This window comes from Homo sapiens, chromosome 6 (genome assembly GCF_000001405.40).
Source record: "Homo sapiens chromosome 6, GRCh38.p14 Primary Assembly".
Taxonomy (NCBI): Eukaryota; Metazoa; Chordata; class Mammalia; order Primates; family Hominidae; genus Homo; species Homo sapiens.
The window spans coordinates 87,613,219-87,638,055 of record NC_000006.12 but is presented as its reverse complement, the minus strand read 5'-3'; the positions used below and the strand labels follow the sequence as shown (position 1 = coordinate 87,638,055).

General features: G+C 39.0%; 1 protein-coding gene across 15 annotated transcripts in view, besides 1 other annotated feature; it reads right to left on the bottom strand.

Moving 5' to 3' along the window:
• Positions 1–24,837, bottom strand: part of ORC3 (origin recognition complex subunit 3) — an 87,689-nt gene that overhangs the window by 39,768 nt on the left and 23,084 nt on the right. For 11 of the 15 annotated variants that reach the window (XM_017010632.3, XM_017010633.3, XM_005248704.3 and 8 more), the window contains 5 exons: positions 21,629–21,742; positions 16,569–16,702; positions 16,043–16,106; positions 3,095–3,211; positions 1,570–1,649 (listed from right to left, as the gene is read on the bottom strand). In XM_017010632.3, the coding sequence (XP_016866121.1) occupies positions 1,570–1,649; positions 3,095–3,211; positions 16,043–16,106; positions 16,569–16,702; positions 21,629–21,742 (509 nt within the window). The remainder of the gene's footprint in view (positions 1–1,569; positions 1,650–3,094; positions 3,212–16,042; positions 16,107–16,568; positions 16,703–21,628; positions 21,743–24,837) is intronic. The other 4 variants (XM_047418550.1, XM_011535651.3, XM_047418551.1 and 1 more) reach the window with 1 other exon arrangement.
• Positions 23,814–24,315: an enhancer, noted in NCBI's record as "H3K4me1 hESC enhancer chr6:88323459-88323960 (GRCh37/hg19 assembly coordinates)". NCBI's record gives its function as "activates a minimal SCP1, AML or CMV promoter by ChIP-STARR-seq in naive H9 embryonic stem cells {active_cell/tissue: H9 hESC(naive)}" and the evidence as "EXISTENCE:reporter gene assay evidence [ECO:0000049][PMID:30033119]".

Genomic DNA, 24,837 nt, shown 5'->3' with positions numbered 1-24,837 from the left:
AGGTATAACAGCTTTGAAGTCAGACCTGGAGTAGAATCCTGGTTCCCTCAGCAGCTAGGTGATCTCAGGCAAGTCACTTAATCCCTGTGTGTGTTTCAGATTCCTCAGGGGGTAAAGTGTGCCTAATAATATCTACCATAAAGGTATATTAAGAGTTTTAGATTGGAAAATGTACTGAGAGTGCCTAACAAAGTGCCTTGCACACAGCAAGCCTTCAATAAGTGATGGTTACTGCTATCACCATTACTACTGCTGCTCATGTTTCCTTACCCTACTTTGGAACTGGCATTCTTGGTTCTTGACTGTACCCTAAGACAACTGGTGTTGGGAGGTTCAGAACAAAAAGAACAAGTTCCTCTTTGACAAAAGAATCTATGAATCTGGGAACACCTCACTGGAGAAGGAAGACAATTACTAATCACAAAGCTTAAAAGAGAAAAACCTGAAAGAATCAACTGGGTATATAAGATAGGTATATTTAGAAAGCAAAATAAGTCTCAGAAATACTATAGTTGACATAAGCTTATAAATACATAGAAATCTTATTGGGATTTTTTGGTTTCCTTATGGGTAAAAAAAAAGAAGAAAAAAGAAATCTTGTTGGGATTTTAAAAAATGAAATAAAACACAGCTTTTCAGTGGCAATCTAGTTTCCATGGGGAGGTATTTTTCCAGATAGCATGAAATTCATTTTCTATCTTAAGCTGCACCTGCTAGATCACTAATATTTGTATTATTAAGTCTCTGGACTTGAAGTGCTTTCAGTGTGAATTTTCCTCCTACTGTGCCCATCTGTTCTTTTCTTGTGGGCCCAGAGGAAAGCAAGACTTAATAAATATTCAGTTTTCAGACTTCTTTAAAATATTTTTATATAAGCATTTACAACCTCTGAGGAAAATTATAAAACTGGCGAAACTTAGCTCACATGTGATTTCCCCTTATAACTATCCAAGTGTCATTTTTTTATGGAAGACTAAAAAGTAACTATACATATAAGAAGTGAAACCAAGGAATATAAATAATAACTTTAACACTAAGATATTTTATTTACTTGTATATTATTAGATAAATAATTTATGAATTAGCCAATGTTAAGGTGAGGGAAGGCACCAAGGCCACTGCCTACTCCTTGCTGCTCCTAGTCAAGGTCAGCTGTGACCACTGGGTACATATCACCCAATGATGCTCTTCCTGCATTCAACCAGGTTGGGGACATGGTGACCTCACTTTTCATGACTTGCTTTCCCTGCCATGATGTAAAGTTGGCTGGATTCAAATGATCCATATCTAAGCTCTCTTAGGGTAGTGTCAGTATTTGACTAAACAATCATGGATTTTCCTTTAAAAACCACAAGCTCAAATGCAAGGTTAAACCAGCAAAGAAACGGATAGTTGCTATATTAAAAACATCATAAGCTACATGGATAAATTCAAGATATATGCAAATATTCTTAGACACAACATGGCTATTTATGAAACTTTTTGGCAGGCAGGGTTCTAGAGGAAGGTGCTACTTACTGGCAGGCTTATAGCAGACAAAAATAGAAAAACAAGAAAAAACAAAACTACCTCAGCAGCTGCAAGACTGATGCATACTCCTCTGAATCCCATATGTTCTTTTCTAAACATGTACAGTACAACTCTCTGATCTGTAAGGGAACAACACATTTGTGAGGAACCAAAAGTGTATACACACTACTAGTTTGGCAAAAATCATTTCTGGTCAACACAAAAAAAATTAATGTTATTAAAAGTCATTTTCTTTAGATTATAATAGACTTGGCATATATCTCATGGATCAGGCTTTATAAGAATGCAATTTACGGCCAGGCGCGGTGGCTCACGCCTGTAATCCCAGCACTTTGGGAGGCTGAGGCGGGCGGATCAGGAGGTCAGAAGATCGAGACCATCCTGGTTAACACGGTGAAACCCCGTCTCTAATAAAAATACAAAAAACTAGCCGGGCATCTGTAGTCCCAGCTACTTGGGAGGCTGAGGCAGGAGAATGGTGTGAACCTGGGAGGCGGAGCTTGCAGTGAGCCGAGATTGCGCCACTGCACTCCAACCTGGGTGACAGAGCGAGACTCTGTCTCAAAAAAAAAAAAAAATGCAATTTATATAAAAGTAAAATGAGGCTATACTGAGATTGGTTGATATCAGTGGTCATTTTAAAATAAGAAACTGATAAAGGAAAAATGAGAAAAAGAGGCTCATTTAAGGCTCAATGGCAAAAATCACCTCATGAACAAGTCATTCTTTTTTTTTAGACGGAGTCTCACTCTGTCATCCAGGCTGGAGTGCAGTGATCTCAGCTCAGTGCAACCTCCGCCTCCCAGGTTCAAGCCATCCTCCTGCCTCAGCCTCCCTCATAGCTGGGACTACAGGTGTGTGCCACCACGCCGGGCTAATTTTTGTATTTTTAGTAGAGACAGGGTTTCACCATGTTGGCCAGGCTGTTCTCGAATTGCTGACCTCAGGCGAACCACCTGCCTTGGCTTCCCAAAGTGCTGGGATTACAGGCGTGAGTCACTGCACCCAGCCAACAAGTCATTCTTACATACTGGTATTTGTTCTCCAAAGCTTTGAGCTAAGATGATTTAGGAATATAGAATTTCTCTGCTAAAATCTACTCTACAGATGGTTGATAGGTTTATCGAATAACATAAAGGCCAGCTGAGCATAATTTTTCAAGCAGCAGAAGTACTGCTTCTCTTTTTATTCTGGGTGTAGTGCAAGGTTAACCATCAAGCATTCTCAAACAGATTCCTTCTTCCATTAAGGGAAGAGAAACAGCTCTCTCAGTACAGGTGACAAGGAAGTGTTAAAGAAGGAAAGTTCAAATGCCTTAGTACAAAAACATTGTAGGGGAAGCAACACCACTGGGATTCATACGGCTGTTTCTAGCTGTGGCCATCTGAACAAAAAAACAATATCAATTACCAGTAATGTTTACAGCTGGAATGGATTTAGATTGTGTTCTCATTGTAAGGATTGGCTTCATTTCACATTCTGATGCCTGAATGCTACAAAAACCAAAGCAAGAAAATACTAACATTCCTACTTCATGGATTACAAATGAGGAGGCTTGGATTACCTGTCGACCTAGTGGATACTTGGGAAGAGAAGAGGTGAACTTATGAAGACATCTCAAAACCAGGAAGTAATTCATATGATAAACATGCAGGTTTTCTAGTAATAATTGTGTTTCCTCCTAAAAATCACAGAATATATTATTAATATGTAAGTCAGCTAATAAAAGAGCATAATAATACAATCTACTTCATGGCTATAAAAATTTCTGGAAAACTGACAAGATTCAAAACTACAAATTAATTCATGAAAATTTGAAATACATATAAAATCCAGAATACAGGCAGAGCATTTCTGATTTAGTATCAAGTCTGGTGATACTTTACACAAGCCAGAATTGATACTGTATTTTAATCTCCTGATAGCTCTAGCATTCCCACAATACTTTGGCCACCAAAATTACAAGTATGCAAGAAAGCACCTTAGTGGATGCTTGCCTGTGCCCATCACCTGGTGTGTGCCACAGCAAGGGAAGGTGCTTTATCCTCCACCTTGCTAGCATCAGAAGAGTGAGATCACCAGACAGAATGGTACCAACCTAATGAACTTGCTAAAGTTCTGCTTATGTTGCATACTTTTCCTAAAGTACTACTCAAGTGTGTTAGTGTGTTTGAAGGGGAAAATGAAAAGACTATGGCAGAAACACAAGTGATTCTGATGAGTCCCTGCCTCTTGCTGAGATCTCCAATACTGGTTTTATTTGCTTCACCAATTAAGAAAAAAAAAAGAATAAATAAATAAATAAATCTGAAGCCAACAAGTTTTATAATTTAGAATCTAGCAAGGATGATGACATGAGGGATAGTGTCTTAAGAAATCTATGCAGGTGTAGTGGCTCACGCCTGTAATCCCAGCACTTTGGAGGGCTGAGGCAGGAGGATAGCTTGAGCTTAGAAGTTTAAGACCTGGGTGAGCAACATAGTGAGACCTCATTTGTATAAAAATAAAAAACCCACAACCGAAAACTAGCCCTACTCGCCATATTAGGGATTTAGATACAGAAAAAAAGAAGAAACCTATGGATGATTAATCTCACAAATCAGTTTCAAAAGGTTTTGTTGAGGGGAGAGAGAGGTTTTCTAGAGCCTCCTGAAATAGTTTAGAAATGATTTTAAAACATTATATCCTATCAGGTAATTTTCAGGCCTCAATTCCTTTTATAACCACTTACTCTGTAACATTTTCTTAAGAGGATTATCATCTGTGCCATGGTCTTCAATATTTTTCTCCTTTAAGAAGTCAAATAAAGGCTTTGCTGGGCTGTGTCTTTATTTCAGTAATATCTTGCAGATACCCATTATTTTTAGTGGTCAGCCATATAGAAAATAACTCAGATATCAATAAATTCAAGCAAATCTAACCTCTATAAAGCAATAAATATGACATATCTTCCTAAACACCAACTCACTTAGGAAATCAATTCCTTGGTCAACGATCTACGGGTCATTACCTGAAAGCACATGGCAGATTAAAGAAAAGTTTTTAGCACCTAAATGTTTTCCCTCCCATTATTTGAGTTGATTGGTAATTTCAAAATCTATGTCTCCTATCACAACAAAATCTAAATCTCCTATCATAACAAAAGTAGCCATAATCAAAAATTGTTTTAACCACCATTGGGAGGGTATACTTTAGTTCTAAACTTTAGCTTAGTTCTTTAGTTTTTTACTGTGAGCCATAACATACAGATGGCATAAAGCCATTAATTACCTTGATGTGTGCTTAAATAGCTTTTAAACAGGGGGAATATTTTGAAGAAAATGAACTCTATTACTGAGTAATCACACTGCATGCTACTTGTGCTACCTATTTTCTTTTGCCTTGTGGAATAGCTATGTGTACAAGTATCTGGGTGATGCAGTAGAAGTGAGTATCTTCATTCCATTTACTTGGATAAGGAGAGAAAAGAAATACTTTACCCACTATAGGGCAATACTGCATACTCAAGGAACATACCTGCCCTGGAATAAGTGTTCGATGAGGAATATAAACATGTTTTTCTCCTAGGTGGTCTCAGTTCCTTCATACTTTTCACTGTGTGGTGCATCCCTGTGCTGAGTAGAGTTCTAGTGTTTAAAAAATGTTTTGTTTTGCTTTAATCATTATTTTATTTTAAGATAAAAATAAAAATTTTAAGATGAAGTCTAACTCTCTGCTCACTGCAACCTCCACCTCCCAGGTTCAAGTGATTCTCTTGCCTCAGCCTCCTGAGTAGCTGGGATTACAGGTGCCTGCCACCATGCCCAGTTAACATTTTGTATTTTTAGTAGAGATAGGGTTTCACCATGTTGGCCAGGCTGGTCTTGATCTCCTGACCTCAAGTGATCCACCCACCTCAGCCTCCCAAAGTGCTGGGATTACAGGTGTGAGCCACCGTGACTGGCCTAAAAAATGTTTTGTATTGTATTGTTTTGTTTTGTTCCATACAACATGGCAGACTATATCATCTGGTGCTCAACTGAGGAAATGGTGGTTGGTTCCAACAATGGGGAAAAAGACTGGCTATGATGGACTTAACGAATGAGAGAAGGTTTGCTGTACCTTTCTAAGGGATTTTTCAAGAGTAATTTTGACCATCCCAGATCTTCACCTTATGTGCTGACTTTAGAACCTAATCTCCACATAATAAAGATTTCATTGTTATTTATATGTGTTTTTATCAGTTGCAACAAAAAACATCACAAATGATTAACATTTTCTTATAACATGTCCTCTAAGTTTTCCATCTTACTTAGATACCTGCACATATGTATCTGCCTTTACTTATTCAAACAATAATTCTTTTTTGTTTGTTTGTTTTTGGAGATGGAGTCTTGCTCTGTTGCCCAGGCTGGAGTGCAGTGGCGTGATCTCAGCTCACTGCAACCTCCACCTCCCAGGCTCAAGCGGTTCTCCTGCCTCAGCCTCCTGAGTAGCTGGAATTACAGGCGCCTGCCATAATGCCTGGTTAATTTTTTGTATTTTTAGCAGAGATGGGGTTTCACTGGGTTGGCCAGGCTGGTCTCAAACTTCTGACCTCAAGTGATCTGCCCACCTTGGCCTCCCAAAGTGTCGGGATTAGACACTGCGTGAGATACTGCACCCGGCCTTAAAACAATAATTCTTAATGTACTTATGGACACTATTTTACAAACTCAAACCTGTAAAAGGTTTTGATATATGAGAAAATTTTCGGGCCGGGCAGGGTGGCTCACGCCTGTAATCCCAGCACTTTGGGAGGCCGAGGCGGGTGGATCACCTGAGGTCAGAGTTCAAGACCAGCCTAGCCAACCTGGCAAAACCCCCTCTCTAGTAAAAATACAAAAATTAGCTGGGTGTGGTGGCAGGAGCCTGTAATCCCAGCTACTTGGGAGGCTGAGGCAGGAGAATCACTTGAACCCAGGAGGCGGAGGTTGCCGTGAGCCAAGATCGCGCTGTTGCAGTCCAGCCTGGGTGACAGAGTGAGATTCCATCTCAAAAAAAAATTTTCCATTTAATACATTACAGCAGCATCATACCATGTACATGTGAAAATAAAGCCTGTTGAAATATTAACCCTACTTTCCATATGTTAAATTTTTCTTCAGGCACTTTTTCTGCACACTAGTCATAGCTGTCACCATTTTGTTTCATAATTGTGTTTACAATGATTCTTTTCTACGGAGATACACTTTGTCTAGGAATATGCATTATTTACTAAAAAGATATGCTTTCTCTGTTCTTTAAGCATGAAGACTTCTTAGTCTTTACTGATTTTTGACAAAGGAACAGAAATATTTCTCTGCTATAAGAAAAACAGGCATGGCATAGTGGCTCATGCCCATAATCCCAGCACTTTGGGAGGCCATAGTGGGAGGATCACTTGAGCCCAGGGGTTCAAGACCAGCTTGATAGTGAGCAACATAGTGAGAGACCCTGTCTCTACAAAAAAAAAAAAAAAAAATTTAAATTAGCTGGGCATGGTGGCATGTGCCTGTAGTCCCAGATACTCAGGAGGCTGAGGTAGGAAGACTGCTTGAGCCCAGAAAGTCAAGGCTGCAGCAAGCTATGATTGCACCACTGTACTCCAGCCTGGGTGACAGAGCGAAACTGTCTCAAAAAGAAAAAAAAAAAGCAAAGCAATACATAACAGCCTCCTTGCTCTTCTTCAAATATGGCAGACATGCTCCAACCTCAGGTCCTTTCTACCTGCTTAGAATTCCCTTCCTCCAGATTCTTGAGTGGCAAGCTCTGTGACTTCCTTTAGGTCTTTACTCAAAATTTACCTTCTCAGTCAGGTCCTTATTTAAAATTTTGACTCCACTTCCCACGCACATGGAACTTCATATCCTTCTTCTCTGCTTCATTGTTTTTATCTCAGCACTTATCACTAACAGATATTTTACTTATTTATCTTATTTATTGTCTGTCTCCCTGATACAATGAAAACGGTAGAAGTTTTGGCTGTTTGGTTCACTCCTGTATTCTCAAAACCTAGATTAACACCGGGCACATAATAGGCACTAGAAAAATATTGGCTGAATGAAGAGTACATTAATGAATGAAGGCTGAACACTTAGTCTCTCTTTTATTTATTTTTAATTTTTGAGACAGGATCTTGCTCTAGCAACCAGGCTGGAATGCAGTGGTGCAATCTCAGCTCACTGCAGCCTTGACCTCCCAGGGTCAAGTGATCCTCTTGTCTCAGCCTTCCAAGTAGCTGGGACTATATATAGGTGCACACCACCACACCCGGCTAATTTTTGTAGAGATGGGGTCTCATTATGTTGCCCAGGCTGATCTGCTTGCCTCGGCCTCCCAAAGTGCTGGGATTACAGGTGTGAGCCACTGTGCCCAGCCTCAGTCTCTCTTTTAAGTAAGAGCAACCATATTTTGTCTTGCTGGATGTGGTCTAGATTTCCTGATTTTTCAAAAGTCTGAATTTGTAACGTAAAATTTCTCAATATGTAAATATTGGTTCTAACATTTTTTTTAAATGTATGTTTAAAAAACACATTTACATTAGACTGTGGGTTGCCTCTTAATGTGCAATATACCCTCTTAAATTAGTCATCTCCAACCTCATCAATCCTGTCTGTTATTCATACAAAAATCATTCACTGATAGCATGTCTTTTGCAGCAACATGGATGGAGCAGGAGGCCAGTATCCTAAGTGAAATAACTCAGAAACAGAAAATCAAATACCGCACGTTCTCACTTATACGTGAGAGCTAAATAATAGGTACACATGTATATACAGAGTAAAATAACAGACACTGTGGACTTCAAAAGGGGTAGGGTTGGGAGGGGTGACGGCAGAGAAATTATTTATTAGGTACAATGTTCACTATTCAGGTGATGGGCACACTAGAAGCCAAAAACTCACCATCATCCAATATGTAACAAACTGCACCTGTAACCCCCTGAATCTATTTTTTAAAAATCATATATCACTGTTTACTTATATGACAGACCCCCTATTGTTATTGAGCTAGCTGCTTTCTCTGGAGGAGAAGTCAATACATATGTAAAACTTATACAGGTAAAGAAAAAAAGGCTAGGCAGAATTACATTTGCCATGCATTTATTTCTCTTCTACTTCCATAGTACTTACCACTTTTGTCTCTAAAATTGTATGTATAGGGGTGAACAGTGACCTCAGATTATAAAATAAAGTATGTAAAAATGACTATAAACTTCTGTAATTTCTTTTCAATCAATTCACTGATCATTAAAAACTGGTAAAACAGACTGTTGAATTTTAGGATTAAGAGATATCAGCTGTCTAAGAACACAGAATTTTCTCATTTATTATCTTGTTATAACTAAGCCTTATTTTTCTCATTAGAGAAAAATGCTGGCTGGCAGTGTTTTCCAGACTTAGCATATTACTGCTATCTAATAAGAATGCCAAACCACAGCTTTCTCCTAGCACTTATGTGGCAAGAGTGCTAGTCTTCTCATCTGTCTCTACCTTTTGTTCTCCATATTCCTACCTCAGCAGTATAGATCAAGAGAAGCACTTGACAAAGAGTTTGAATTTAAATGATTAATTCCTGACACACTAGGCTAATGCCCAGCTCATTTGATCACATTTGATAGACTGTGATTGTTTTCCTTTTTCCTTTACTTTTCCATTTATTATTTTTTCTAAGAAATTTTCTTCCCCCTGTCTGCCCTGTAGGTCTGACAAAAGAAACAGAAAGAGGTGGGGTCAAAGGTGAAAGGCAGGTCTTCATCAAACTCATGAACTGATTTTGTGCCTTTTGTTCATGAGACACTATGATAAGCATACTAAACGGTGAAAAGAAGTCCTTACTCTACCATGAACTTGCTCTGTGACATGAGATATTTCACTTCCTTTCTCTTGGCTGCAGTTCTTCATTTTTGAAATGAGGGTGCTAAAGGAGTTCAAGGTTTATTTCTCACTCTAAAAGGATTTAAAGTCTAGTTGGGAAAATAGGTATAAAGACGTGAAACATTAACAAGTAAGAATAATAAAACTTCAACTGTCACCTGCAAGGGAATGAATCTAAGCTTTCTACATAGTATGAAGATTTTCAGTATTTCATCAGCTGTACCAGGTCTTCTAATGTCCCTCCTTAGTAGGAAATTCCTAGCAAATCACCTACAAATGTACATTGTTTAGTCAGGTAAAGTTTTAAATTTTATTTTATTTTAAGTTCTGGGATACATGTGCAGGACGTGCAGGTTTCTTACTTAGGTAAATGTGTGCCATGGTAGTTTGCTGCACCTATCAACCCATCATCTAGGTATTAAGCCCCGCATGCATTAGCTGTTTATCCTGATGCTCTCCCTCCGACCTGTGCTCTCATTGTTCAGCTCCCACTCACAAATGAGAACATGTGGTGCTTGGTTTTCTGTTCCTGTGTTAGTTTTAGTCAGCTAAATTTTTACATTTAAAAGTACACTTTTTAAAAAACTCATTACTGAGTTCATTAAATTCAAAGCTGACATATAGTTCTGAAGCAGTGGATCCATAATTTTGAGGGAGTTAAAGGTTTTTGTTAACGTCTTGATTCTAGTCAGAGGATAACTGAGATCAATCATTTGTTTAGGTGGGAACTTAATAGATTAGTTCTAGCTTAAGAAAATGAGGTGATGGGGGAAACAATAACAAATGCTTCCTCCTAGGGAGGCAGTCTAACTTAGTAGTTCTTGAAGTGTGGTTTCCAGTTATACAGACTGTAAATTTCTCTGGAATATTCTGTGAGGTCTAGCTCTTAGACACTTGAATATAGAAAATGGGCACAAAATGATAAACTCTAATGGTAGGCATGTCTATACAACTATATAACATAAGAGTATTATAAATATTACATATAGATTGTATATTATAATACATAAAAATGTATATACATCTTTATATACATTGAAATGTGTTCATATTGGCTGGGTGTGGTGGCTCACATCTGTAATCCCAGCACTTTGGGAGGCCTAGGCGGGCGGATCACTTGAGGTCAGGAGTTCAAGACCAGCCTGGCCAACATGGTGAAACCCCGTCTCTACTAAAAATACAAAAATTAGCCGGGTGTGGTGACCCATGCCTCTAATCCCAGCTACGAGGGAGGCTGAGGCAGGAGAATGGCTTGAACCCAGGAGGTGGAGGTTGCAGTGAGCTGAGATCGTGCCACTACACTCTAGCCTGGGCGATAGAGCGAGACCCCCTCAAAAAAAAAAAAAAAAAAGCTGGGCGCGGTGGCTCACACCTGTAATCCCAGCACTTTGCGGGGCCGAGGCGGGTGGATTATCTGAAGTCAGGAGTTTGAGACCAGCCTGGCCAACATGGTGAAACCCTGTCTCTACTAAAAATACAAAAAATTAGCCGGGTGTGGTGGTAGGCACCTGTAACCCCAGCTACTTGGGAGGCTGAGGCAGGAGAACTTCTTGAACCTGGGAGGTGGAGGTTGCAGTGAGCCGAGATAACGCCATTACACTCCACCCTGGGCAACAAGAACAAAACTCCACCTCAAAAAAAATAAAATAAAATAAAAATAAATAAATAAATAAAATGTGTTCATATTGATCTTAATTTTTATGAGTGAAAAATATATAACAAGTTATTATTTTCATTTATAAAAGCTTTATCATTATATTTGTTTTCAAATCACTTTTATTTGCTGAACAAACTTTGATTATCACTAACCTTATGAAAAAATCATACTAGGAATTATTATCCTACTTTTTTTTTTTTTTTTGGAGACAGAGTCATGCTGTGTTGCCCAGGCTGGAGTGCAGTGGCGCTGTCTCAGCTCACTATAACCTCTGCCTCCCTGGTTAAAGGGATTCTAGTGTCTCAGCCTCCCAAGTAGCTGGGTTAACAAGCACACACCACCACACTTGGATAATTTTTTGTATTTTTAGTAGAGAAGGGGTTTTGCTATGCTGTCCAGGCTGGTCTCAAACTCCTGGCCTCAAGTGATCTGCCTGCCTTGGCCTCCCAAAGTGCTGAGATTACAGGCATGGGCCACCACACCCAGCCTATTATCCTACTTTCTATATAAGAAAATTGAGGCTTAAATAGCTCCCATTCACAATTACTACAAAGAGAATAAAATACCTAGGAATACAACTTACAAGGGATGTGAAGGATCTCTTCAAGGAGAATTACAAACCACTGCTCAGTGAAATAAAAGAGGACACAAACAAATGGAAAAACATTCCATGCTCATGGATAGGAAGAATCAATATCGTGAAAATGGCCATACTGCTCAAGGTAATTTATAGATTCAATGCCATCCCCATCAAGCTACCAATGACTTTCTTCACAGAACTGGAAAAAACTACTTTAAAGTTCATATGGAACCAAAAAAGAGCCCACATTGCCAAGACAATCCTAAGCAAAAAGAACAAAGCTGGAGGCATCATGCTACCTGACTTCAAACTGTACTACAAGGCTACAGTAACCAAAACAGCATGGTACTGGTACCAAAACAGAGATATGGACCAATGGAACAGAACAGAGGCCTCAGAAATAACACCACACATCTACAACCATCTGATCTTTGACAAACCTGACAAAAACAAGCAATGGAGAAAGGATTCCCTATTTAATAAATGGAGCCAGGAAAACTGGCTAGCCATATGTAGAAAGCTGAAACTGGATCCCTTCCTTAACCTTATAAAAAAATCATTCAAGATGGATTAAAGACTTAAATGTAAGACCTAAAACCATAAAAACGCTAGAAGAAAACCTAAGCAATACCAAGACTAGGCATGGGCAAAGACTTCATGACTGAAACACCAAAAGCAATGTCAACAAAAGCCAAAATTGACAAATGGGATCTAATTAAACTAAAGAGCTTCTGCACAGCAAAATAAACTGTCATCAGAGTGAACAGGCAACCTACAAAATGGGAGAAAATTTTTGCAATCTACCCATCTGACAAAGGGCTAATATCCAGAATCTACAAATAAGTTAAACAAATGTACAAGAAAAAAATAACCCCATCAAAAAGTGGGCAAAGGATATGAACAGACACTTCTCAAAAGAAGACATTTACGCAGCCAACAGACATATGAAAAAATGCTCATCATCACTGGTTATCAGAGAAATGCAAATCAAAACCACAATGAGATACCATCTCACACCAGTCAGAATGGCGGTCATTAAAAAGTCAGGGAACAACAGATACTGGAGAGAATGTGGAGAAATAGGAACACTTTTACACTGTTGGTAGGAGTGTAAATTAGTTCAACCATTGTGGAAGACAGTGTGGTGATTCCTCAAGGATCTAGAACAAGAAATACCATTTGACCCAGCAATCCCATTACTGGGTATATACCCAAAGGATTATAAATCATACGACTACAAAGACACATGCACACGTGTGTTTATTGCGGCACTATTCACAATAGCAAAGACTTGGAACCAACCCAAATGTCCATCAATAATAGACTGGATTAAGAAAATGTGGCACATATACACCATGGAATACCATGCAGCCATAAAAAAAGGATGAGTTCATGTCCTTTGCAGGGACATGGATGAAGCTGGAAACCATCATTCTCAGCAAACTATCACAAGGACAGAAAACCAAACACCACATGTTCTCACTCACAAGTGGGAGTTGAACAATGAGAACACACGGACACAGGGTGGGGAACATCACACACCAGGGCCTGTTGGTGGGTGGGGGTGCTGGGGGAAGGATAGCATTAGGAGATATACCTAATGTAAATGACGAGTTGATGGGTGCAGCAAACCAACACGGCACACATATACCCACGTAACAAACCTGCACGTTGCGCATATGTACCCTAGAACTTAAAGTATAATTAAAAAAAAGAAAATTGAGGCTTAAATAAGGTAAGTGATTTTCTTAAATATAGATAGCTAATGAGTAACTGCAGTTCAAATACAAAATTTCCTATATTTTGTAGTACCACATTATTGTCATGTATTTTTACAAAACCATAAAAAGAGAAGCATTATTATGAGAATATTCAAAGATACTTTAAACTAAAAAATCAAGACACATTCTTTTGTTTTGTTTTGTTTTTGTTCTTTGAAACAGAGTCTTGCTCTGTTGCCGACGCTAGGGCATGATCTTGGCTCACTGCAACCTCCACCTCCCAGGTTCAAGTGATTCTCCTGCCTCAGCCTCTGGAGTAGCTCAGATTACAGGCATGCACCACTATGCCCGGCTAATTTTTGTATTTTTAGTAGAGACAGGGTTTCACCATATTGGCCAGGCTGGTCTTGAACTCCTGACTTCAAGTGATCCGTCCACCTCAGATTCCCAAAATGCTGGGATTACAGGAGTGAGCCACCGTGCCTGGCCTAAAACATTCATTTTTTCTTAGACACTTTCTGTCTTTTGATTTCAGCAGGTAGCCTGCAGCTAACTTTTTCAGGGTAAGGGTACAAATCTCTGTGCTTTTTCATATTTCTCACTGTATAAGTCTCTAGAAAACATGCACTTATATGACAAAGTATGTAATTTGAAAATGAATACACCAAAGATCATAACAAGCAAAACTGACAGTGCAACAAGAACAAGGATAGCATAAATAAATGCTAAGAAAATATGTAAAAAGTCACTGAAAAGCAGACATAAATGTCAGGCTCTTTTTGTTTTGTTTTGTTTTGTTTTTTTTTAAAGACAGAGTCTTGCTCTGTCACCCAGGCTGGAGTGCAATGGTACAATCTCGGCTTACCACAGCCTCCACCTCCCAGGTTCCAGTGATTCTCCTGCCTCAGCCTCCTGAGTAGCTGGGACTACAGGCATGCGCTACCACGCCCAGCTAATTTTTGTATTTTTAGTAGAGATGGGGTTTCACAATGTTGGCCAGACTGGTCTTGAACTCCTCACCTCAAGTGATCCACCCACCCAGGCCTCATAGAGTGCTGGGATGATAGGCGTGAGCCACCGTGCCTGACCAATGTCAGGCAATTTCTATAATACACTAGCCTAGACATTCTCTCCCTCTGTCATCTCAATGGTTAAAGGTACTCTTAAAAAATCTATTCCTGGCTTCTGAAATAACTCTGACAGAAAGTTCTAGCAGGAAATGGACTTGGCAACTAGCTGACTCAACAGAGAGCTAATCTAGCTAATCTCCAAAGACTCAGTAAACATGCACACATTCTTTCTCACTAGTTCTTAAATTTCTTCCCAGCAAAACAACCTGCATGGAGGTCTGAGAACCTCCTATACTGCTCTGAAGGCATTACAGAGATTACTAAAATGATTATTGAGCCCAATCTAGAAGTGACTTTATATTACGGCCCAGTGTGGATTCTACATTAGAAATAATGTTTAATAAAAGCCATTCTGAATATTTTTTGAGCATTTATAATGGGCATAAATTACCAATGGAGGGAAACACATGCCCTCTAGAATCTAACATTTTTTAAAACACATTTTTAATTTTTTAAATGGATATATAATTGTACATGTATAAGATCTAACATTCTCTTGTTCAAAATCTGAAAATCGTATGTATTACCAAAACTCATCTTTAGCACTATGGCTTACCTTCAATCTCATCTTACTATCATTACAATATTCTAACAACTTTTTCCTAAAAAAGGCATGAGGAGTATGAAAATAAATGTGACATTATGTGTTTCTAAATGCTCATCAGTAAGAGGCATGTTCTTAAAAAAGGTACATTAATTCAATAGACTACTATGTCACTCTTCAGTACTAATATGGAATGATTTCCAAGATTAAGTACAAAATGAAACAAGGTGCAGAATATTGTAAGAAGGCAGCAACTGCCAAAATATAATATAATTACTTGTATGTATGGAGACTCTATCTAGAATGAAATATAAGAAACTAGTAACACTGGCTGTATCCAGGGAAGGGACATGGGTAGTTGGAAGACAGGTGAAACGAAGCCTTTCACTGTATATTATATACTATAACATATATAGTATACTATATCCATTTTGAATTATATACTACATCCAAGTATTATTTATTCAAGAAAGAAGCCCTCCTTCTTTTGATATTCCTTATGTTGTACAGCTCACTGATAATTTTCTAAGCTCATTACTTCTTTCCTAGCTTTATATTATCAATATATAATGATATTTCTTCAAATCAAATCAATACCCACTTAGCAGCAGACGCCTAAGCTGCCTGGCTTCTAAATGCTTTTATTTATCACAGCCTTTAAAAAGAACATTACAACGAAATTGCTGGCAGATTCCAAAACTGCTAGGTGGAAAAAGATTCACATAGCAGATCTCTATAGATCTAAAGGTGCTTTCAAAATAGGCCACAAGAGAAACTTGGTGTTTAATATTTTTTCTTGATTAAAAAAAGCCTCAACTTTTAGAGCTAAGGTTTTATGTCATCTTTAAAACTCACATTCCTAGGTGACTATCAAGACCCAGTACTTCACTGTATAAATATTAAGATGCACAAATATGTTTTATTAACTCAATAAATGTTACATGCATATTCTTCTTTATGAAAGGAAAAAGAGAATGAAACTGAAACACATTCACATTCCTACCTTCAAATATCTCTCATTGGTCAAGAGCGCAACTTGCTTTTCTGAAGCTTGCTTTTCCACGTACCTAGAATTTTCACCATTCCATACATAAAAAGAGAAAATTAAACATTCAACATATTTAAATAGCATATTGGGAAAAAGAACTACCTAGATTGGTAGCCACATTTTTTTCATTTCTTCACAAAAATAAATTCAGTATGACATTTATGGTTTAATGGTAATTTTAAACTCCTTAAATCAGCTGGACTTCATAGTCTATAGATATAAACATTAAAAAAGGCCATAAACCCCAGGAATAGGAAATGTTATTTCTAAAAAGTAACTCTGGAGAACTTGCAAATTATGTCCCTTTGTAAAAATACTTTTCTTTTTGCCAAATTTTCAAATCCAACAAGGGAAATCCCACAATTAAAAACAGAATAGGTTACTATTTCTTTCCCTACTTCAGAAATAACTGGATCTGAGATCTCTTATTTAGTACCAAATTCTAGTATAGTATGTGTTAAACATGTACTTCTCTTTTTACCTCCTAAAAGATGGTAGACGTCGGATGTTTTCACATTGATTATTTGATAAAAAATTTATTCTTCTTTTGGCTTCTGGAAGATTACAGCACAGGACACTTAAGGGCTGGGAATAGAAATGCTCTAATAGAGAAAGCTGAAAGACATGTGAAGATTAAACATATTTGTTATATTTTGGCAGTAAATCTATTGCGCTACAATCTGCTCAATTTTAAGGATTTTTTTAAAGAGCCAAAGTATTTATGGCACTAATATATTTAATAATGTCACAATAACACTGCAAACAACATAAAAATGGCTATATAACTCCATATTTTAAGGTTCCAATTCTGTGAAGAAGGTCAGAAAATGGTAATCTTTGAAATACAAACTAAGATAAACTAATGCAAATGGATAGAACAGCTATCTGCAAAAGCAACACATAATAATTACAAATGTGGTGTGGACCAAACTGAGGTTTAAAGAAAGGGTCTAATAGATACCCCAAAACTCATAAGAAAATGCCAATCTAAAATCAGTGTAAAAACTGGTCTGTTACAAAAAATAATGCTGCAATGGTAGGAGCTGTGCCTATGGATTAAAGTGAATGATGAAAATTTATCTTTACAAATTAATTTTTTTCCCATGGAGGAAAACATGGTGTACTATCTGGTAGATATAAGCATTTTAATAATAGAATGCTGTGGGCTCTATGGTAGAAGGGAAGACAATTTTCCAGATTCTAACATTCAGTTTGCTTAGAATCAACATAATGAACGTTTGGATAATCTTGTATACATTTGGATAGTCTTGAGTTTTATACCTAGAAACTGGTATAACTTGCAAGACTATGCAAATGTTCATTATGTTGATTCTAAGCAAACTTTGCTTGACCAGTTTGGTATTTTCAGGTACCCTGATACTGGTCACTCCTCATCACAAATTAATAAATTAGCATGTTAGGTTACATATCCATCTTAAGGTATTTGTTTGGGATGAATCAATAATCTTGGGCTTGATCCTTCCTGGGGGAACTGATAATGAATTTCTGAGTTCATAATGCTGACAACAAGATACCCAAGGCTAGAGGAAATCTTCCAAAATAGTCCATTCTCTAAGGCTGTAAGGCAAAGGGCCTGCCTAACTTAGAAACAAGTACAAAATAGAAAGCAACTGTTTATGCCAGGTGCTAAATTACTTTTGCACATATTAACATAATTTTGTTTCTTCTCTTTTCTAATTATGTCAAAGTGATAATGCTTATCCCAATGTTAACAGTACTTTTCGGACATGAGAAAAATAAAAACTAAACAGGCTAAGGGGCTTGCTGCGGAAGAGGAATGGGAGGAAGCCACAGAAGTTACAGTAGAGCTACAAATAGGATATGAACCCATTATCACTTAACTATTTTGTTCAAGTGTGTTTTCAATATCTGGGTCAATCAACAAGTTGGTTAACATATCCACCTAATGAAGGGAAGGCTAAAACACACAGAATGATAATATGTCCTGCTGTACATCCTATGGAAATCAGGAATTACATAGTCCTAGTTACTCAGGAAACTAAGATGGAAGATCGCTTGAGCTCAGGAGTTTGAGACCAGCCTGGGCAACAGAGTGAGACTCTGTCTCAAGTAGAAATCACGACTTACCAATATTTTCCACTGAGGACTAGGAAAACTGGGGAAATGAGGTCTAAAGATGCTGTCACTTGTTAGTGGTGTGACCTTGGCCAAGCCACTTAACTTAAATCTTAATTTCTTCATGTGCAAAACTGAGGATAATACACATGAATAAAACCATGCAGGCCAGGCAAGGTGGCTCACGCCTATAATATCAGTACTTTGGGAGGCCAAGGTGGGTGGATCACCGGAGGTCAGAAGTTCGAGACCAGCCTGGCCAACATGGTGAAACCCCATCTCTACTAAAAATACAAAATTAGCCAGGCGTGGTGGCGCATGCCTGTAATCCCAGCTGCTCAGGAGGCTGAGGCAGGAGAAGCACTTGAAATCGGGAGACGGAGGTTGCAGTGAGCTCAGATTATGCCACTGCACTCCAGCCTGGGCGACAGAGCGAAACCCTATCTCAAAAAGAAACAAAAACAAAAAAACCATGTAAATAGTTTAGTAAAGTGTCAAGCATAAAGGAAGTGCTTAATAAATTATCAGGAAACCATAAAATCATCTAATCTGATTGCTTTATTTTACAAATGAGAAAACTGAGACCCTGAGAGATTAAGTAACTTGGTTAATGTCCTTTACTTTCTGTCTCAAGGTATTTAGAGTACAGTTTCTATTTCCTGAATCTCTTTTTCCCTTGGCTTCAGTGGTACTCCACTTTCTACCGGTTCTCCTTGTTTTTAGTCTCCTTTTCTACTGCTCAGTTTTACAGGTCAGTTTGTCTTAAGGTGCTGCCCTTAGCCTTTCCTTACTCCCTCTAGCTGACATTTCATCCTCATAACATTATTTTAACTGCCACCTTTTAAGGATAAGTCCTAAATATCTATTTCCAGTCCAAATCTTTCTCCTGAGCACAAAATCTTTATGTCTAACACACCCCTAAATTAACCAGATACAAAAAGAAACTCATCCTTTTCTCACAACAACCTTGCTCTTTGCTATGTATTAACATGTACAGTTAATAAACGGTACTAACCTCCAATCTGCCAAGCTAGAGCCTGTGTCATCTTACTCCTCTCTTAACCTTTCAGCTTCAAGTCAAGTAAGAAAAAAAAAAACAACAGAACATCCTATGACCTACTTAGTCACTAGGTTTTTTTATTCGATCTCATCCTCAAATTTGTTTCCTCCTCTCCAGTTCCACTACCATTACCTTAGTTTATTTAAGTCCTTGTCATGTCCTGTCTAGATTACTGCAATAGCATTCTAACAGATCTCTCTTCCCCTACTGTTGCTTTTGCCTGAAATTCTGACCTGGCTCGCTCCTATTTCTTAGGCATACACTTCTGTTTTCCTATGGAACCCCAGGGCATGTTTCTTTCATAGCACTGACTACTCAGATTTGTGGGTTTACTGTTTTGCCTCCATCATTAAACAAATAACAATTTGAAGGCAGAGATTTCTTTTTTTTTTTTTGAGATGGAGCCTCACACTGTTGCCCAGGCTGGAGTGCAGTGGCATGATCTCCGCTCACTCGCTCACTACAACCTCCACCTCCCAGGTTTAGGTGATCTCCTGCCTCAGCCCCCCAAGTAGCTGGGATTAGAGGCATGCGCCACCATGCCTGGCTAATTTTTTGTATTTTTAGTAGAGACAGGGTTTCACCATGTTGGCCAGGCTGGCCTCGAACTCCTGATATCATGATCTGCCTGCCTCGGCCTCCCCAAGTGCTGGGATTATAGGCGTGAGCCACCGCGCCCAGCCCAGAGATTTCATTTTTATCTGTATCTTCAGGGTTCAGCATAGTGCTTGGTTGACAATAGGTTCTTGACAAGTATTTATGAGTAAATGAATGAAATGAAATTAAAGAAATAATTTAGAAAGTTTAATCTTAATATCATTTAATTCTACATATTCCTAAGGTAAATAATGCTTTATTCTTTTAAAATACTCTTTAAAAAGTCAAAGTTGGGAGGAAAAGATACATATTAGCCAAAGAAACCACTGCAATCTTTTTTTGAAGGAAGGAAACATGAGAAATAATTTATAATCTTCAAGGCACTACACAAAATGAAGTATTATCAAATTGAATTTTTGCACCAAAGGTTACTAATACATATATAGGTTTTTAAAATCAGAATTTTGTTTGTTTTTTATAGAGACAGGTCTCTTGCTCTGTCACCCAGGCTAGAGTGCAGTGACACAATTATGGCTCACTGCAGCCTTGACTTCCCAGGCTCATGTGATTCTCCCACCTCACCCTCCCGAGGACCTGGGACTCTATAAATAAGCCACCACGCCTGGCTTATTTTTTATTTTTAATAGAGATGAGGCTGCATTATGTTGTTCAGGCTGGTCTCAAACTACTAAGCTCAAGTGATCCTCCCACCTTGACTTCCTAAAATGCTGGGATTATACGCATGAGCCACCGTGCCTGGCATAATACATAGGTTTTAATGAACTAGACAACTGGCATGTATTCAAAATGACTACACTTATGTAGCTTCCAAGAAAAGGAAATAATACTAACTTTTAAACAACTGGAGAATGGGGATCTTTTTTAGGTTACAGCATATATCATGAAGCTAAATTCCTGAATTAGCTTCAGGCAATTCATGAAACTAGTGAAAATGAATTCCCAATGTATCAGAATACAAATTACAGAGACACACACACACACACACATGCATGGTCCAGAAACTAAAAACCTTTTTTATATCTTTAAAGGATTATTAAAGAAGAAGAAACAGAAACAGCAACAGCAGTGACCACATGTAGCATGCAAAGCTAAAAATGGGCTGGGCGTAGTGGCTCAGGCCTGTAATCCCAGCACTCTGGGAACCAAGGTGGGTGGATCACCTGAGGTCAGGAGTTCGAGACCAGCCTGGCCAACATGGTGAAGCCCTGTTTCTACTAAATATACAAAAATTAGCCAGGCGTGGTGGCACGCACCTGTAATCCCAGCTACATGGGAGGCTGAGGCAGAATTGCTTGAACCCGGGAGGCGAAGGTTGCAGTGAGCTGAGATCATGCCACTGCACTCCAGCCTGGGCAACAAAGTGAAACTCCATCTCGAAAAAAAAAAAAGCTAAAAATGTTTAATATCTGGCCCTTTACAGAAGTTTGCTGACCCCTTATATATAGCATTTCCTTGGTAGAAAAAGTCCATAAGCTCTCATGAGAGTCTCGGAAACAAACCAAAAAAGTCTGCTTGCCCCTACCCCCAAAATGGTTAAGAATTGCTGGAATAGAAGTCTTTTCCCATTATTGATATCCTAATGAGTGCATTCTCTACAGTTTGCTGCAAGGTAACAAAGGAATTGTAGAACCTAGAATAAAATAACTGGAATTTACTTATTCTAGATTTTGCCATTTAAAATGCCTATCACACTAGACAGCCTGAAATAATGTGCAAATTATTTAGAATCAGCTTGAGAATTTTCAAACCCATTACTGTGTTCTTACCTGAAGTCCTTTTATAAAGTTTTGAACTGAGAAATCATGATACAAAAAGATGTTGGTCAGAACCTGTAATACTTTTTCATTTATTTTAAAGGGAAACTGAGTTGTAAGAAGTAGCTGAAAGAGATTAAAAGGGAGGGGGACACACTCCTTGTTAGTCTTCACTCTTCATAAATACTAAGTATTAATAATGAGGCAAAGAATGATATTATGACACAGTTAACTATGAAAGCTGCAATAATAGCTAGTTTTTTAAGCTCAAATGTCAACAAAAATTTTAAGTTAATTTATACAAGAGTAACAAAAAGAAGCTACTTATACTGTATCTTCAGAACCAAAGATCTATACCATCTTCCATCAAATTCCTAATTAAAAAAAAATACCACCTATTAACTATATCATCCTTTTTTTTTTCCTCACCAGAAACCACTGAAGAAGCTGCAGGCTTTGGCAATTCTTATTACCAGATGAGATTTTTTTCATTACTACTGATTCAAATTAATGAAGAGTAATATATTATGTATTGTTGAATGAGAAACACAAATGTCTATTTCACAGATGTCTATTTCAAAAGTATAGAATAGCTGAATTTGTATTATTTGGCTAATTTTCAATTGTCTATAGTGATGTTTTACATCTGGAAATGAAAAGTCACACAAGGCTTCTTAAACAGAAGCATAGTTGTAAAAGGCCAATTGAACTTGGCTATAACCAAGTTTTTTGTTTTCTTTTTGTAGAGGAAAGTTCTTGCTCTTTTGCCCAGGCTGGAGTGCAGTGGTGGCATCATAGCTCACTGTAGCCTTGAACTTCTGGGCTCAAGTGATTCTCCCACCTCAGCCTACCAAGTAAAAGGGATTATAGGTGCTTGCCACCCTTTCCGGCCTAGCCAAGCAAATTTAAAAATAGCAGCTTGAAAACATTTTCCTTAAAGTGTCTATAAATCACCTTTATGGAAAAAAAGAAAAACACTAAAACCCATGTGTAAGTGGCTAGTGGGCAGGTTGTTTTTAGTTTACCTTAAATAAGCAGCATAAAGCACATCTTAAAGGAGGTGAGTCCAGAAGCAATTTGGGGAAGGTCAATGATATGGTTTGGCTGTGTCCCCACCCAAATCCCATCTTGAATTCCCAAGTGCTGTGGGAGGGACCTGGTGGGAGGTAACTGAATCATGGGGAAAAGTCTTTCCCATGCTGTTCTCATGACAGTGAATAAGTCTTATGAAACCTGATGGTTTTATAAAGAGGAGTTCCCCTGCACAAGCTCTCTCTCTTTGCCTGCTACCAGCCATGTAAGATGTGATTTGTTCCTCCTTGCCTTCCACCATGATTGAGGCCTCCCCAGCCATGTGGAACTGAGTCCATTAAACCTCTTTCTTTTGTAAATTGCCCAGTCTCGCCTATGTCTTTATCAGCGGTGTGAGAACAGACTAATACAGTAAATTGGTACCAGTAGAGTGGGGCACTGCTGAAAAGATACCCAAAAATGTGGAAGTGACTTTGGAACTGGATGACAGGCAGAGGTTGGAACAGTTTGGAGGGCTCAGAAGACAGGAAAATGTGGGAAAGTTTGTAACTACCTAGAGACTTATTGAATGTCTTTGACCAAAATGCTGATAATGATATGGACAATGAAACAGGCTGAGGGGGTCTCAGATGGAGATGACAAACTTGTTGGAAACTGGAGCAAAGGTGACTCTTGTTATGTTTTAGCAAAGAGACTGGCGGCATTTTGCCCCTGCCCCAGAGATTTGTGGAACTTTGAACTTGAGGGAGATGATTTTGGGTATCCTGAGGAACAAATTTCTAAGCAGCAAAGCATTCAAGAGGTGACTTGAGTTCTGTTAAAGGCATTCCATTTTATGAGGGAAGCAGGGCATAAAAGTTTGGAAAATTTGCAGCCTGACAATGAGATAGAAAAGAAAATCCCATTTCTGAGGAGAAATTCAAGTCAGCTGCAGAAATTTCCGTAAGTAACAAAGAGCCAAACGTTAATCCCCAAAACAATGGAGAAAATATCTCCAGGGCATGTCAGAGGTCTTCATGGCAGCCCCTCCCATCACAAGCCTGGAGACCTAGGAGGCAAAAGCGATTTCACGGGCTGGGCCCAGAGTCCCCGTGCTGTGTGCAGCTTAGGAAATTGGTGCTGTGTCCTAGCCACTCCAGCTGTGGCTGAAAAGGGCCAACACAAAGTTCGGGCCACGGCTTCAGAGAGTGCAAGCCCCAAGCCCTGGCAGCTTCCACATCGTGTTGAGCCTGTGAGTGCACAGAACTGGGGTGTGGGAACCTCCGTCTAGATTTCAGAAGATGTATGGAAAAGCCTGGGTGTCCAGGCAGAAGTTTGCTGTAGGGGCAGGGTCCTCATGGAGAACCTCTGCTAGGGCAGTGTGAAAGGGAAATGTGGGGTTGGAGTCCCCACACAGAGTCCTTACTGGGGCACTGCCTAGTGGAGCTGTGAGAAAAGGGCTACCATCCTCTACACCCCAGAATGGTAGATCCACCAACAGCTTGCACCGTGTGCCTGGAAAAGCTGCAGACACTTAACACCAGCCCATGAAGGCAGCCAGGAGGGAGGCTGTAACCTGCAAAGCAACAGGGGTGAAGCTGCCAAAGACCATGGGAACCCACCTCTTGCATCAGCATGACCTGGATGTGAGAAATGGAGTCAAAGGAGATCATCTGGAGCTGTAAGACTTGACTACCTCGCTGGATTTCAGATTTGCATGGGGCCTGTAACTCCTTTGTTTTGGCCAATTTCTCCCATTTGGAATGGCTGTATTTACCCAATGCCTGTACCCCCATTGTATCTAGGAAGTAACTAACTTGCTTTTGATTCTACAGGCTCATAGGCAGAAGGGACTTGCCTTGTCTCGGATGAGACTTTGGACTGTGGACTATTGAGTTAATGCTGAAATGAGTTAGGACTTTGGGGGACTGTTGGGAAGGCATGATTGGTTTTGAAATGTGAGGACATGTGATTTGGGAGGGGCCAGGGGCAGAATGATATGGTTTGGTTGTGTCCCCACCCAAATCTCATCTTGAATTCCCAAGTGCTATGGGAGGGACCTGGTGGGCGGTAATTGAATCATGGGAGCAAGTCTTTCCTGTGCTGTTCTCATGATAGTGAATAAGTCTCATGAGATCTGATGGTTTTATAAAGAGGAGTTCCCCTGTACAAGCTCTCTCACTTTGCCTGCTGCCATCTATGTAAGATGT